Genomic DNA, 17311 nt, shown 5'->3' with positions numbered 1-17311 from the left:
CCACCCCCCACCGCTTCTTTCATTTTGAGACAGGGTCCTATTGTCCAGGCTGGAGTACAGTGGTGTGATCATAGCTCATTGCAGCTTTAAGCACCTGGGCTCAAGGGATTGTTCTGCCTCAGCCTCCTGAGAAGCTGGGGTTGCAGGTGCACACCACCACACCCGGCTAATTTTTTTATTTTTATTTCTTGTAGAGAGGGGGTCTCATTATGTTGCCTAGAGTGGTCTTGAACTCCCGGCTTCAAAGAATCTTCCTGCCTTATCCTTGCAAAGAATTGAGATTACAGGTGTAAGGCACCACATCTGGCGCATTTCTTTCTTTTAAATTGTGTATCCAAACTACACTCAAATCTTGTCAGTTCTAGCTTAAAGTTTAATTCCAAGTCAAACCATTTCTCTCCACCTCCACTACTATCACCTTGTCCAAGTCACTACCATCTATTGCCTGAACTATTGCAAAAGCCTCCTAACTTAACTCCTTACTTCTTTTCCTTCCTGACTATAGATAATTCTCCCCTTAGCAGCCAAAGTGATCTTAAATGATCACATTATGTCACTCTCATGTTCTAAACTTCCAATGGTTTAACATGTCACTTAGAATAACATCAAAATGTCTTACAATGGTGACAGTCATATATGTCCATATATAGTCAGAGTCTTTAATATGCAAATGTTAAGAAAAACTCTATATTGCAGTTTCAGTCAATGACAGACCAAATATGTGATGGTGGTCCCATTAGATTATAATACTGCATTTATACCTCTTTTCCAATTTGTGTGTCCACATTTTTTCAAATGAATTATGTCATTCACTTTTTAAAAAATTGATACATAACAGATATAGACATTTTCAGAGCACATATGAATAATTTGATACATCTATATAATGTGTAAAGTTTTTTGTACCGTTTCTATGTTTAGATATGTTTAAGTATAAAAATACCATTGTGTTACAATTGCCTACAGCATTTAATACAGTAACATGCTGTGCAGGTTTGTAGCCTAGGAGAAACAGTCTACACCATATAGCTGGAGAAACAGTCTATACCATATAACTTAGATGTGTAGTAGGCTATACCATAGGTTTGTGTAAGTACACTCTATGATGTTTGCATAATGACAAAATTGCCTAACAATGCATTCCTCAAATGTATCCCTGTCATTAAGTGATAAGTGCTAGAATGTAAGCCCACATTATGATGTAGTTTCCAAAAACAACTCATGTTACCTTACACTGCATTAACAGAAGTGCATTGTTTGAAGAAAGGCAGGTGCTAGTTCTTCCAGTCAGACTACTTTGGAATGTTATATTTGACTCCAGGCACTTCATATTAAGATATCTTAATATTAATTGCTGTATTTCAGATAAAGAATGTTTTTCAGAAGACAGAAAGTAGGATGGTAAAAGGACAAATTATGCCTGGTGAGGAACCATTACAGGAACCGAGAATCTTTACCTTGAATACTTGATGATTAGGGAAGAGCCATGAAAGTTCTCCCCAAATAGCTAAACATCTGCCACATGAAAAAGGGGGTATACATATTCTTTTCTTTTTTTTTTTAGATGAAGTCTCACTCTTGTCCCCCAGGCTAGAGTGTGATGGCGTGATCTCGGCTCATTGCAACCTCTGCCTCCCGGGTTCAAGCAATTCTTCTGCTTCAGCCTCCCGAGTAGCTGGGATTACAGGCACCTGCCATCACACCTGGCTAATTTTTGTACTTTTAGTAGAGACACGGTTTCACCATGTTGGCCAGGCTGGTCTCGAACTCCTGACCTCAGGTGATCCACCTGTCTCAGCCTCCCAAAGTGCTGGGATTACAGGCATGAGCCACTGTGCCTGGCCGGCTGTTATACTTATTCTTGTTAGCTACAGGGGAAAAAAAACAATGGTAGGAGGTTTCAGAGAGGAAGCTCAGCACTTACAAGGAAGAACTGCTCAACAGTTTTTTCCAAACCAATGTTCTGCAGCGTACATGTTAATTTAAACAAGGTATCTTGTGTCTTTACTGCAGGATATCTCAGAGTCTTTAATATGCAAATGTTAAGAAAAGGATACAGTATGCCACATTTCCCAAACTTATTTGTCCATAGACACTTCTATTTACAGAACTGTGTTAATGTCTCTTGAAACAATGGTCATAGAACAGTTTGGGTTAAAGCTATTTAAAAATGAACAGGCTGTCTTCTAAAGGAGTAGGGTCAGGTTCACATCAAGATATCTGGAAAAACTGGTTGGTCTGGCTGCCGCTCTTATATTTCTGAAATGCTTGTCATTAAAACTGAAGTATATAAAGTTTGGGCACTTAGAGCAATTTCTCTTACCTGTTAACAGTAACATTATCTGTTAATATTAACAGGTGCCTGTTAACATGAACATTGTTACGTATTAACATTAACAGTATGAGACCCAACACTGTTCTACATGAGAATAATGTTTTAAAACCAATGGAAATGAAGCTCTCTAGAACAGTGATTCTGAACTTTTTTCCTAGTAACACACTGCACAGTCGTGCCATTCCCGTGTCTGTCCTCTGATTCATTCATTGTGTATGAGGTAATGTTTCTCAATTTTTTTTCATGACCATACACATACACAAACAAAACCCTCATGCTCTACCATCCCTACTCCCACAAATTTTGATAGGAACCTCACATAGGACCATGCTCCTCTATTGACATTTCCATTTTAGAACCTCAAACCTAGAGCATTAATGTAACTTTTTTTGAATAAAAAGAAAATTTCTAGGCTTCAAGGCAGAAATGGTATTTAAAACTTATGGGAAAAGTAAATCAGGAAAACAACATCAAAAAGGAACTACTTTGATATTTTTGAGGCTAAATGGAAACATTAATAAAGGAAGTTGGACTTATAGAAACATTGTTGTTATTGAATATTTGCTGCAATAAGCAAGACAAGGTGTAATAATAAGAAAAAGCTGGATCAGCAAGGTTGACAAGACAAGGTTGCAAATTATAATTATTGTTTATACAACTGTTCACTGAAGGGCATAGACCAGCGCCATAGAGGCTAAGAAGAATGTACTCTGTAAAAGAATGACTGGCTCTTCAGGATTTCTACAACTTACACCTGTTCCTGTTCTCCAGAACAATGTTTACTAATGCTTACTATCTCTAATCTGGTTTCCATGATCTATCCATACTGAGAAAGGAGGGTTTGGATAAGTAAATAAAATACTATCATAATCAGAGAGATATAACTTCTCCTGTGTTTTAATAAAATGGCATTCTGCTTCCTACCATCTATATTGACAAATTTACTAAAGTCATATCAAACCTAGAGAGCTGACAAGCCAGGCCCTGGCTGGACCAGATCACATCATACATACCAATTCTTGAGGCCCCTGTGAATAGCATAATTACATTGCTTATAAAAAAAAAAACTTGAAATACCATTTCTTTGTTATTCTGCAATTTTGCCTCTAAATCAGCACCTCAAAAATTAGGGCCATCAGTCCTAAATGGCAGTTACCTATAAAGGAATTCCCATAACTTTGCATACCCACAGAGAATGATCTCCATTATACGTGTGTATTTTCATGGTCATTTGGAGACACCAGGCCAGCTCCAGCAACACTGCACAAGTTTTAATGAGTTCACTGATGGACGGGCAGACATAGAGTCTCTGGGGCCTTGTTTAAAGATGTACTGGAAAACCAGTCCTGGAACTTCTGTCATTGGAGAAAGGTGGAGGAGATCAGCTCTGATATGCTGCTATCTCTCTTGTCTAATCCAGTAGAAGAAAAAAAATGCTTCAAGACAGGGCCAGGAATTGGGGTCAGGACAGAATCTAGGGAGTCATCAGAGTTTTGTCTTCTTGGTCTCTAGTTTGATCATGTTCCCCTGGATGTGAGGAATGTGCTTATCTGCTGGACCCCGCATATCCTCTGTCTTTACAGGAACATAGTAGTAGCCCATGATGGAGAAGATCAGGCAGATCACCAGCAGGAGGCAGGAAAACAAAATGAATTCGGCCCACTGCAGGGGGAAATAAATATGAGAAGAATATGGAGAAACCTGAAACTAAAGAGATCTTTACAGGATGAGGAGTGGGGAGCAGACTGACCTGGGATCACCAGTTTAACCAGACTTTTGCTGGACAAAGACTGGGTTCACTGGCCTCTCCTCACATAGGTATATTGTAGTCATTATTGCCACTTACATATGTCTATTTTCCTGGTAAAGTCTGTATATCTAACCCATTTCATGTCACAGCACTGAATGGGGAATGTGGGAAGCAGAGAGATGGGGGAAAGGGAGAAGAGAAAGCTGGAGGAAAAACTTGAGTAGAAATGAATCCTGCTTCCCTCAGATCCATACCTGTACCAGGCCACTGAACTGTGCCACAACAAGCACGATGATATTCCCAACTGCAATTGTCAATAGCCAAGCTGCCTGGAGCACAGATTTCATGCTAGAGGGAGCCTGGGGATGACACAAGTTTGAAAGTAAACAAACCCCCTTCACTGCCCTCATGCCCCATGCATCCAGGAAACTTCTCCCACAAAAGCTTCCAAGTTAGAACTTCTCTTATTAAGTTCAGCTATCACATTGATTCAGAGGGTGTTAATAATGTAAACAGTAAGAATAAGATGAAGCTCCTAACTGAATATATTTAAACTCATTATGTCATATAATCTTCATTACAATCCTAAGAGATAAGTTCTATTCGTATTCTTATACATTTAAAAAATAGTATTACAGACTGGGCGCAGTAGCTCAAGCCTGTAATCCTAGCACTTTGGGAGGCCAAGGTGGGCAGATCATCCAAGGTCAGGAGTTAGAGATCAGCCTGGCCAACATGGTGAAACCCTGTCTCTACTAAAAATACAAAAATTAGCCAGGAATGGTGGTGTGCGCCTATAATCCCAGCTACTCAAGAGGCTGAGGCAGGAGAATCGCTTGAGCCGGGGAGGCAGATGGAGTCTCGCTCTGTCGCTCAGGCTGGAATGCAGTGAGCTGAGATCGCGCCACTGCACTCCAGCCTGGGCGACAGCATTACAGAGATAGTAATTTACTTGCTCAAGGTTACACAATAGGTCATGCAGCCAAAATTTGAACACGGGAAGTCTGACTCTGCAGCTCTTCATTTTAATCTTTAATCTCTTTCCTAGAACCCCAAAATCATAGACTCCCATGCTGTACTGTCATGACCTGGGGAGTTAAGATGTTCAGGTCATATATGTTCAGGGTCATAAATAAGGTACCCAAGGCCAAAAGAGATAACATACCTATTTAAGTCAGTGCTAGAATTAAAATTCATTGTCCTTCAAGCAATGCCTCAATTTCTACCTTCTATTTGCAAAAACTTACCTGAGAATAAGAAAACTCAAGACCTGTGACAGAGAACATGACCTCCCCAGCTGTAACCAGGGCATATTGTGGTAGCTGCCACGCAATGGACATTTTGTTGGCTGGAATGTCTTCAATCTTCCAGGCCTGAAGACCCTGATTGGTGTTCTTAGGGAAAGAGAAAATGGAAATGGACTTGTCAGTAGTCTCAAGTAAATATTTCTAACTACAGCATTCTACGATCTTATATCCATCCTTTTTGTATTTTCATTCTTCAGCCATTTTCAGGAAATTGAGCATTTCTACACAATTCCAGCTTTTCAAAACTTCTTTTCGTAATATTATGCTCACTCGCCTAGATTCAATCAGATATCATTATTGACAGAGACTTTAAATAAGAGAATATTTTGATATTGCAGTTTGGATTTCCACCGTTTTGCCCTATCAGGCATTTTGATCCTGGACAACATTTTAAACATAAAATGGCATCTGAATTACACAAACAAAATAAATTTTCAGATAATTCCCTTGGTAAGGGTGTGTTTATTCTTTGAGCAGAGATTATACTTCTCAGGCTATGCCCAGGCCTGCTATGGTTATCAGCCTGGTAGAAAAGAAGTAGTGGAAATTGAAGAAAATGAACAAGATTAGAAGAACAGATTCTTTTGCAACAAGGGTTAAAGTGTTGCTGCTTTTGGCCAGGAGGGTTAAAAGAGACATGGAGGTGGCTGGAGCCAAGATGGCCGAATAGGAACAGCTCCGGTCTACAGTTCCCAGCGTGAGCAATGCAGAAGACGGGTGATTTCTGCGTTTCCATCTGAGGTACCGGGCTCATCTCACTAGGGAGTGCCAGACAGTGGGCGCAGGTCAGTGGGTGCAGCACACCGTGTGCGAGCCAAAGCAGGGCGAGGCATTGCCTCACTCGGGAAGTGCGAGGGGTCAGGGAGTTCCCTTTCCTAGTCAAAGAAAGGGGTGACAGACGGCACCTGGAAAATCGGGTCACTCCCACCGGAATACTGCGCTTTTCCGACGGGCTTAAAAAACGGCGCACCACGAGATTATATCCCACACCTGGCTGGGAGGGTCCTACGCCCACGGAGTCTCGCTGATTGCTAGCACAGCAGTCTGAGATCAAATGCAAGGTGGCAGCGAGGCTGGGGGAGGGGCGCCCGCCATTGCCCAGGCTTGCTTAGGTAAACAAAGCAGCCGAGAAGCTCCAACTGGGTGGAGCCCACCACAGCTCAAGGCGGCCTGCCTGCCTCTGTAGGCTCCACCTCTGGGGGCAGGGCACAGACAAACAAAAAGACAGCAGTAACCTCTGCAGACTTAAATGTCCCTGTCTGACAGCTTTGAAGAGAGCAGTGGTTCTCCCAGCATGCAGCTGGAGATCTGAGAACGGGCAGACTGCCTCCTCAAGTGGGTCCCTGACCCCTGACCCCTGAGCAGCCTAACTGGGAGGCACCCCCCAGCAGGGGCAGACTGACACCTCACATGGCCAGGTACTCCAACAGACCTGCAGCTGAGGGTCCTGTCTGTTAGAAGGAAAACTAACAAACAGAAAGGACATCCACACCAAAAACCCATCTGTACATCACCATCATCAAAGACCAAAAGTAGATAAAACCACAAAGATGGGGAAAAAACAGAACAGAAAAACTGGAAACTCTAAAAAGCAGAGCACCTCTCCTCCTCCAAAGGAACGCAGTTCCTCATCAGCAACGGAACAAAGCCGGATAGAGAATGACTTTGATGAGCTGAGAGAAGAAGGCTTCAGGCAATCAAATTACTCTGAGCTATGAGAGGACATTCAAACCAAAGGCAAAGAAATTGAAAACTTTGAAAAAAATTTAGAGGAATGTATAACTAAAATAACCAATACAGAGAAGTGCTTAAAGGAGCTGATGGAGCTGAAAACCAAGGCTCGAGAACTACGTGAAGAATGCAGAAGCCTCAGGAGCCGATGCGATCCACTGGAAGAAAGGGTATCAGCAATGGAAGATGAAATGAATGAAATGAAGCGAGAAGGGAAGTTTAGAGAAAAAAGAATAAAAAGAAACGAGCAAAGCCTCCAAGAAATATGGGACTATGTGAAAAGACCAAATCTACGTCTGATTGGTGTACCTGAAAGTGATGGGGAGAATGGAACCAAGTTGGAAAACACTCTGCAGGATATTATCCAGGAGAACTTCCCCAATCTAGCAAGGCAGGCCAACGTTCAGATTCAGGAAATACAGAGAACGCCACAAAGATACTCCTCGAGAAGAGCAACTCCAAGACACATAATTGTCAGATTCACCAAAGTTGAAATGAAGGAAAAAATGTTAAGGGCAGCCAGAGAGAAAGGTCGGGTTACCCTCAAAGGGAAGCCCATCAGACTAACAGCGGATCTCTCGGCAGAAACCCTACAAGCCAGAAGAGAGTGGGGGCCAATATTCAACATTCTTAAAGAAAAGAATTTTCAACCCAGAATTTCATATCCAGCCAAACTAAGCTTCATAAGTGAAGGAGAAATAACATCCTTTACAGGCAAGCAAATGCTGAGAGATTTTGTCACCACCAGGCCTGCCCTAAAAGAGCTCCTGAAGGAAGTGCTAAACATGGAAAGGAACAACCGGTACCAGCCGCTGCAAAATCATGCCAAAATGTAAAGACCATCGAGACTAGGAAGAAACTGCATCAACTAACGAGCAAAATAACCAGCTAACATCATAATGACAGGATCAAATTCACACATAACAATATTAACTTTAAATGTAAATGGACTAAATGCTCCAATTAAAAGACACAGACTGGCAAATTGGATAAAGAGTCAAGACCCATCAGTGTGCTGTATTCAGGAAACCCATCTCACGTGCAGAGACACACATAGGCTCAAAATAAAAGGGTGGAGGAAGATCTACCAAGCAAATGGAAAAAAAAAAATGCAGGGGTTGCAATCCTAGTCTCTGATAAAACAGACTTTAAACCAACAAAGATCAAAAGAGACAAAGAAGGCCATTACATAATGGTAAAGGGATCAATTCAACAAGAAGAGCTAACTATCCTAAATATATATGCACCCAATACAGGAGCACCCAGAGTCATAAAGCAAGTCCTCAGTGACCCACAAAGAGACTGAGACTCCCACACATTAATAATGGGAGACTTTAACACCCCACTGTCAACATTAGACAGATCAAAGAGACAGAAAGTCAACAAGGACACCCAGGAATTGAACTCAGCTCTGCACCAAGCAGACCTAATAGACATCTACAGAACTCTCCACCCCAAATCAACAGAATGTACATTTTTTTCAGCACCACACCACACCTATTCCAAAATTGACCACATAGTTGGAAGTAAAGCTCTCCTCGGCAAATGTAAAAGAATAGAAATTATAACAAACTATCTCTCAGACCACAGTTCAATCCAACTAGAACTCAGGATTAAGAATCTCACTCAAAACTGCTCAACTGCATGGAAACTGAAAAACCTGCTCCTGAATGACTACTGGGTACATCACGAAATGAAGGCAGAAATAAAGATGTTCTTTGAAACCAACGAGAACAAAGACACAACATACCAGAATCTCTGGGACACATTCAAAGCAGTGTGTAGAAGGAAATTTATAGCACTAAATGCCCACAAGAGAAAGCAGGAAAGATTCAAAATTGACACCCTAACATCACAATTAAAAGAACTAGAAAAGCAAGAGCAAACACATTCAAAAGCTAGCAGAAGGCAAGAAATAACTAAAATCAGAGCAGAACTAAAGGAAATAGAGACACAAAAAACCCTTCAAAAAATTAATGAATCCAGGAGCTGGTTTTTTGAAAGGATCAACAAAATTGATAGACTGCTAGCAAGACTAATAAAGAAAAAAAGAGAGAAGAATCAAATAGACGCAATAAAAAATGATAAAGGAGATATCACCACCAATCCCACAGAAATACAAACTACCATCAGAGAATACTACAAACACCTCTACACAAATAAACTAGAAAGTCTAGAAGAAATGGATAAATTCCTGGACACATACACCCTCCCAAGACTAAACCAGGAAGAAGTTGAATCTCTGAATAGACCAATAACAGGATGTGAAATTGTGGCAATAATCAATAGCTTACCAACCAAAAAGAGTCCAGGACCAGATGGATTCACAGCCGAATTCTACCAGAGATACAAGGAGGAACTGATACCATTCCTTCTGAAACTATTCCAATCAATAGAAAAAGAGGGAATCCTCCCTAACTCATTTTATGAGGCCAGCATCATTCTGATACCAAAGCCGGGCAGAGACACAACCAAAAAAGAGAATTTTAGACCAATATCCTCGATGAACATGGATGCAAAAATCCTCAATAAAATACTGGCAAAACGAATCCAGCAGCACATCAAAAAGCTTATCCACCATGATCAAGTGGGCTTCATCCCTGGGATGCAAGGCTGGTTCAATATACGAAAATCAATAAATGTAATCCAGCATATAAACAGAAACAAAGACAAAAACCACATGATTATCTCAATAGATGCAGAAAAGGCCTTTGACAAAATTCAACAACGCTTCATGCTAAAAACTCTCAATAAATTAGGTATTGATGGGATGTATTTCAAAATAATAAGAGCTATCTATGACAAACCCACAGCCAATATCATACTGAATGGGCAAAAACTGGAAGCATTCCCTTTGAAAACTGGCACAAGACAGGGATGCCCTCTCTCTCCACTCCTATTCAACATAGTGTTGGAAGTTCTGGCCAGGGCAATCAGGCAGGAGAAGGAAATAAAGGGTATTCAATTAGGAAAAGAGGAAGTCAAATTGTCCCTATTTGCAGACGACATGATTGTATATCTAGAAAACCCCATTGTCTCAGCCCCAAATCTCCTTAAGCTGATAAGCAACTTCAGCAAAGTCTCAGGATACAAAATCAATGTACAAAAATCACAAGCATTCTTATACACCAATAACAGACAAACAGAGAGCCAAATCATGAGTGAACTCCCATTCACAATTGCTTCAAAGAGAATAAAATACCTAGGAATCCAACTTACAAGGGATGTGAAGGACCTCTTCAAGGAGAACTACAATCCACTGCTCAAGGAAATAAAAGAGGATACAAACAAATGGAAGAACATTCCATGCTCATGGGTAGGAAGAATCAATATTGTGAAAATGGCCATACTGCCCAAGGTAATTTATAGATTCAATGCCATCCCCATCAAGCTACCAATGACTTTCTTCAAAGAATTGGAAAAAACTACTTTACAGTTCATATGGAACCAAAAAAGAGCCCGCATTGCCAAGTCAATCCTAAGCCAAAAGAACAAAGCTGGAGGCATCACACTACCTGACTTCAAACTATACTACAAGGCTACAGTAATCAAAACAGCATGTTACTGGTACCAAAACAGAGATATAGATCAATGGAACAGAACAGAGCCCTCAGAAATAATGCCACATATCTACAACTATCTGATCTTTGACAAACCTGAGAAAAACAAGCAATGGGGAAAGGATTCCCTATTTAATAAATGGTGCTGGGAAAACTGGCTGGCCATATGTAGAAAGCTGAAACTGGATCCCTTCCTTACACCTTATACAAAAATCAATTCAAGATGGATTAAAGACTTAAACGTTAGACCTAAAACCATAAAAACCCTAGAAGAAAACCTAGGCATTACCATTCAGGACATAGGCATGGGCAAGGACTTCATGTCTAAAACACCAAAAGCAATGGCAACAAAAGCCAAAATTGACAAATGGGATCTAATTAAACTAAAGAGCTTCTGCACAGCAAAAGAAACTACCATCAGAGTGAATAGGCAACCTAAAAAATGGGAGAAAATTTTCGCAACCTACTCATCTGACAAAGGGCTAATATCCAGAATCTACAATGAACTCAAACAAATTTACAAGAAAAAAACAAACAACCCCATCAAAAAGTGGGCGAAGGACATGAACAGACACTTCTCAAAAGAAGACATTTATGCAGCCAAAAAACACGTGAAAAAATGCTCATCATCACTGGCCATCAGAGAAATGCAAATCAAAACCACAATGAGATACCATCTCACATCAGTTAGAATGGCAATCATTAAAAAGTCAGGAAACAACAGGTGCTGGAGAGGATGTGGAGAAATAGGAACACTTTTACACTGTTGGTGGGACTGTAAACTAGTTCAACCATTGTGGAAGTCAGTGTGGCGATTCCTCAGGGATCTAGAACTAGAAATACTATTTGACCCAGCCATCCCATTACTGGGTTTATACCCAAAGGACTGTAAATCATGCTGCTATAAAGACACATGCACACATATGTTTATTGCGGCATTATTCACAATAGCAAAGACTTGGAACCAACCCAAATGTCCAACAATGATAGACTGGATTAAGAAAATGTGGCACATATACACCATGGAATACTATGCAGCCATAAAAAATGATGAGTTCATGTCCTTTGTAGGGACATGGATGAAATTGGAAATCATCATTCTCAGTAAACTATCGCAAGAACAAAAAACCAAACACCGCATATTCTCACTCATAGGTGGGAATTGAACAATGAGATCACATGGACACAGGAAGGGGAACATCACACTCTGGGGACTGTTGTGGGGTGCGCGGAGGGGGGAGGGATAGCACTGGGAGATATACCTAATGCTAGATGACGAGTTAGTGGGTGCAGCGCACCAGCATGGCACATGTATACATATGTAACTAACCTGCACAATGTGCACATGTACCCTAAAACTTAAAGTATAATAATAGAAAAAAAATGGCACACCAAAGGGATCAAGTTAATTAAATTAATTAATTAGTAAAATAAATAGAACTTTGTAGATTGGGTTCTCATCAAACCTCTAGAAATGTTCTCTCTTTTTTTTATTCACTATCTTTTAGTCTTTAATACAGTATGAATAATAATGAAATAACAAAATTAAAGTCAAGATTGACATCAAAATTAAAATCAGTTACTCTGCCCTGACTGCTAGGACAATTGTTTTTGACAGATCACAGTTAACTGATCCCCAAACTTTGTGTAGGGATTGACATTATTATCAGTTTCAGTATTTCAGACTGTGACATGCTAGCAGATCAAATTTCCAGAGAGTGAGAAGATCTGCATATGAAGCTGGCCAAGAAGACATTAGTACTTTTTCATAAATAACTTGTGTTTGATTGGAGACATAAAAAGACTGGAGCAAGCTGTGGCATCTCACAGTGATGGCTCAAGATAAATTATGTTTCTCCTTCCCCAAGACCCTTTGCTTGTTGTTGATGTTATCTCTTAACAACCCCTACAGAGACAGTGGGCTTTCTAAAGTCACTGTAGAGCCAGGTGCGGTGACTCACGCTTGTAATCTCAACACTTTGGGAGGCTGAGGCTGGTGGATCATCTGAGGTCAGGAGTTTGAGACCAGCCTGGCCAACACGGCAAAACCCCATCTCTACTAAAAATACAAAAATTAGCTGGGCATGGTGGTGGTGGGTGCCTGTAATCCCAGATACTCGGGGAGGTTGAGGCAGGAGAATCACTTTAACCCGGGAGGCAGAGGTTGCAGTGAGTCGAGATGGTGCCACAGCACTCCAGCCTGCGCGATGAGAGCGAAACTCTGTCTCAAAAAAAATAAAAATAAAAATAATTAAAGTCACTGTAGAACCTGTCATCTTATGCTAGAAATAAATATACGTGTCTGCTTTGCCACAGAGTCTTCTCTTTTGTTTTCTGCCCCTGCCTAGAGGATCTCAGGAGATATATGTATATGGAGAGAGGGTAAAGAGGTGGCTGTGAGCTACTTACATTAGTAATAACAAACAGATATGCTGCACCAAAGTCTAGAAGACCCAAATTCAGAGAAAAGTTCTTATCTTCTGTTCTACAGTGCACTGCAGGGTATCTGGAACAGGATGAATTTAGGTTAGAATAAATATCAAGGCTTGGAAAAGCATTCCCATCTCCAGGTGAAAGTGATCTCATCTCTCTACTGATGGTGAGGAAAGCAGTGAAGCCACTAATTATCTTTGAAGAGAAATGTTTCTTGGAGTAGGTTATTTTCATGCCAGGCTTCTGTCCCTGATTTGAGCTCTTTATTGCTTGTCAGGTATTTTCTAAAATATTCAACCTAAATAAAGAAGTTACAAATCATATTCTTTTGTTAACTTAAGTACCATGTGAATTTTCCTCATGCAAATCTTATGACTTAGTAGAACAGGCTATAACAGTGAACCTGAGAAGATAAGCTCTAAGTAATGAAGTGCCAGTGTAAGGTACCAAAGTACCTTCTTTAGTAGAAATGGAAACCAATAATAAACTTTGAGAAACTCACAGAGACGGACTGTGTTAACTATACAGAGATGGGCTGTGTTAACTATATAGTGTGGTCTTCACGGCAATCGTGATCTCAACATATCTGTGCAGAAAAAAAGTGAGACTGAGGGAAGGAAGCAAGAGTTGGAAAAGATCAGTAGTGCGTCTATACTCAAAATTAGACCACATGCACCTAAGTTCCCCACCTATATACAAAGATAGCACTTAAAAAACAATTATTGACAAAAGTAAAATGTCCACAGGGGCAATGCACTTACTCTCCTCTTTGCACAGTTCTATAAGCAGACACACCATAGTCTTCACCAACATTGAGAGAGGTATCTGTACTCAGGGAGATGTTGACATCTTTATGCAAAGTGTTAACAAACCTGAGGGTAGAGATATTATTTACATATCAAACAAACAGGAACACCTGATAAAAGAGGTTAGGGGCCTTTTATGTTTTGGGTATAACTATATCCCCAGTGCCCAGGTGCCTAGGATAGTGGCTGGCACATAAAAGGTACCTAATGTATATTGTTAACTAGACGAATGAACCCACACGTAAAAAGTAATCCATAGTCTTAGCTGTCCCTAAGTTTCTTTTTCTTGAACTTTTATCTGCCACATCCTCACCAGACCTCTAGCTAGACGGACACTATCATGATCATTCATGGAAATCTGAGTTTCCTCACTAATCCAGCTTAGGTGCATCTAATTTATTTCCCTTATAATGGTGGAATCTATCAACTGAGACTTTACTAAGAAAAATAAGATAATTATGCATATATAAAGATATGATAGTATTTACATAAAACTGATATCTTATCCTCTTATAAATGAAGTCCAATGTGACCTATGCAAAACTCAGACTCCCAGCCCAGAGTAGGTTATTATAATTGTTTTGGAGTCTGCAGAAACTTTGGACCCTTCCAAGACCATCTTTCTATTTTTCTGAACCTGGCACCTAGATTGTCCTCTCAGGATGGGTTTTGGTACATTTCTGTTTTGATAGCTTTTGATTTGGTCTCTGGCCCCAGGAATAAGAAGGACATTTCCCTTTAGAGTCCTGAATGTTGATTCCTAGACTTTAGATCATTCTACACTGACCTAGAAAATGCCCCTTCTGGGGGCCCATGGCTCTCTGACCTCACATTGTCTTATTTTGAGCTGTTTACTTTTTTTGAAGCATATTCAAAAGCAAGTTATTATGACTGTCCCAACCTTCAGTGAAATCCAGACTTTTCACTAAAAGTTCTCCACTAAAATGCTATTCTCAACAGCAACCACTTGACCTTGGTGGCCATAGACCTGTGTATCTGTCCATTTCATATCTAATACCAGCCACAGAGAACACATGTCCTCTTGGGTACTCCATCTCTGTAACTGTCCCTCACCATTTGACAAGACCCTTCAGCCTTATCTGGATTCAAAACTAAGTCTTTTGACTCCAAATGTGTGCTATACCATGATGCCTCTACAGGCTTATAATAAAAACTATACTTTAAAAGATATATATTCAACTATCAAAAATGAAGGGAGGATTATTTTCTCACTTCCAAATTTCTCTCTGGCGATCACAGAGAGAAAAGTACTCAGTTATTTTCCTGAGAGCAAGATAAATAGATAAAATTCAGCAGAAAGGATTTATGCCCCAGAGTACAGGGGGCATACACAGATAGAGTCATCTTCGAATCCCACATGAGAAAAGAAGCCTATCTGCCTCTCACTGTCCTAGAAAATGCCTTTTGACACCAGTGCCCCTGGCATTCTACGAGAGGGAATTCCTGTTCAGAACAAGTAGAATGCAGCCCCAAAGATTAGAAGAGATCCAAGATTCAAGAAAACAGAGTGGCCTGGAATCTCATTGACATTCAAACCTCACGGTTGTCATCCCATTGGTTGTTCTGCTTTCTGTATCCTTTACCTACAACAGAGGAAAGTAAAAATCAGTAACAGCTGATGAAATAAGACCTATACTCAGAAAATTTGATCATCAGGCAGATCCTTGGTAAGATGTTGATGAGACAGTCATATTACTTTGAGATGACAACTGAAAACACAGGCAATTCCTCAAATTACCATCATGCTGGAGATACTGTTCCCATCTTCACGAATGACAAGACTGTACCAGTTCTTCTCCTGCACAGAATGCTCAGTGTAGAGAGACAAATTGTGATATTTCAGGTGGAAGTGAAAATCCTGGCTTTTTGTTTTCAGGTGCAGTTTGGAATAGTGTGGTGTTTTCTGTAAAATGAAGAATATAAAATGAAGGTCACGTACACCTTCTACTGCATATTGGACATCACGATGTAGCATCTCAGGGTAGGTGACCTCATCAGACACTTTCAACCTAGTAATTCCTTTCTTTAACCTAGCCATTTTATTTCTTGGAATTTACCCTAAGAAATAATCAGAGCCATGCATAAATATTTATGAATAAGAATGTTCATTGTAGGATTATGTATAATAATAAAAACGGAATACCTATGTGGAAATGTCTAAATAAACTATGGTATATCTATAGAATGGAATATTATATGCCCATTAAAATCATGTGCTCAAAGATTATCTAAAGACATGGGAAGATGCTTATGATACAATTAATGTTAAGGAAAAATCAAGATCAATATAGCATACAGAGTTTCTAATTCATTCAGGTACACACCTCACCTGAAAGGATTTGATGGACTCTATCAACAGAGAATTGTTTTCATTTCCCACCACTGTCACCTTCACCTCATCATCTGCCAGATTCAAGACTTGTAGGAAAACCTCCTGGGGACCTGGCTGGGCTGGGGCCATTTCCTTAGAGCAAAGAACACATGTCAGAATCACCAACAAATAATCCTTCAGATACAATGGCAACACATATCTCAGTTGTTTCTGACAGCCTAGTCCACTAGCCAAGTAGACATAGTTTTCTCCCTCTGAAAAATATTTGGCTTAGAAAACTCTAAAGGCAGCTTGGAGAGGGAAACATCAGCTCATTGTAGCAAGTACCAATGCCAGCTTACAAACTCGATGCTTTTTGACTCAGCTGTGGCCTCATCCGTAATAGTGGCTATTCAATCTGCCAAAAGGTTTTTACTTGAGTATGTAGAAAGGCATCACATAAGCCTGTGTTCCCTAAGGAGAGGGCTCTCTTGGATATTAGTGTTTGAGAATTCCCTGAAAATACATTCTGAGTCACTCAGGTGGGAGGTGGGCCTCATTTTGCATTGCTGTTTTACCCCTGTATCTACTTATTTATCACAAATACTTATGATGCACCTCTTATAAAACAGGTACTGTGCTAGGTCCCAGGGAATCATGACTGAACAAGTCAAAAGAGCAAATAAGAAAGATATGATCCTGCCCTCATAGAGCTTAAGAATTACTGAACTCACATTTATTTTTATCTCTACAGCTGCCGCAACTGCAAATGCCAGGCATGCTAGGATCATACCAACAGCCATTTTCCTAAGTGATCTGTGGTGGAAAGGAGAAACAATTATATCTAAACTTTAGACTCTAAAGGATGAAATCCAAACTCTGTAGCCTATTATTAAAGACTGCATTAGACTGTTCTTGCATTGCTGTAAAGAAATACCTGAGACTGGGTAATTTATAAAGAAAAGAAGTTTAATTGGCTTATGGTTCTGTAGCTTTACAGGAAGCACAGTGCTGGCATCTTCCAGCTTCTGGTGAAGCATCGAGGAGCTTTCAATCA

The 17311-nt window shown here is 40.2% G+C and overlaps 1 protein-coding gene across 4 annotated transcripts in view, besides 1 other annotated feature; it reads right to left on the bottom strand.

Annotated features, from left to right (window-relative positions):
• Positions 1–639: 639 nt before the first annotated feature.
• SLC15A2 (solute carrier family 15 member 2) overlaps positions 640–17311 on the bottom strand; it is a 49788-nt gene continuing 33116 nt past the window's right edge. For 2 of the 4 annotated variants that reach the window (NM_021082.4, NM_001145998.2), the window contains 9 exons: positions 16989–17070; positions 16273–16407; positions 15682–15846; positions 15480–15526; positions 13878–13988; positions 13093–13189; positions 5333–5479; positions 4340–4444; positions 640–3997 (listed from right to left, as the gene is read on the bottom strand). In NM_021082.4, coding sequence (NP_066568.3) covers positions 3821–3997; positions 4340–4444; positions 5333–5479; positions 13093–13189; positions 13878–13988; positions 15480–15526; positions 15682–15846; positions 16273–16407; positions 16989–17070 — 1066 coding nt within the window. In that variant the 3' untranslated portion in view covers positions 640–3820. The other 2 variants (XM_005247722.4, XM_006713736.4) reach the window with 2 other exon arrangements.
• Positions 5732–6312: an enhancer, noted in NCBI's record as "H3K27ac-H3K4me1 hESC enhancer chr3:121657363-121657943 (GRCh37/hg19 assembly coordinates)". NCBI's record gives its function as "activates a minimal SCP1, AML or CMV promoter by ChIP-STARR-seq in naive H9 embryonic stem cells {active_cell/tissue: H9 hESC(naive)}" and the evidence as "EXISTENCE:reporter gene assay evidence [ECO:0000049][PMID:30033119]".

The sequence above is a fragment of the Homo sapiens genome, chromosome 3 (assembly GCF_000001405.40).
Source record: "Homo sapiens chromosome 3, GRCh38.p14 Primary Assembly".
In the NCBI taxonomy this organism is placed as follows: domain Eukaryota; kingdom Metazoa; phylum Chordata; class Mammalia; order Primates; family Hominidae; genus Homo; species Homo sapiens.
Note: the sequence above shows the minus strand (reverse complement) of the source record. Positions and strands in the feature narration are given on the sequence as shown.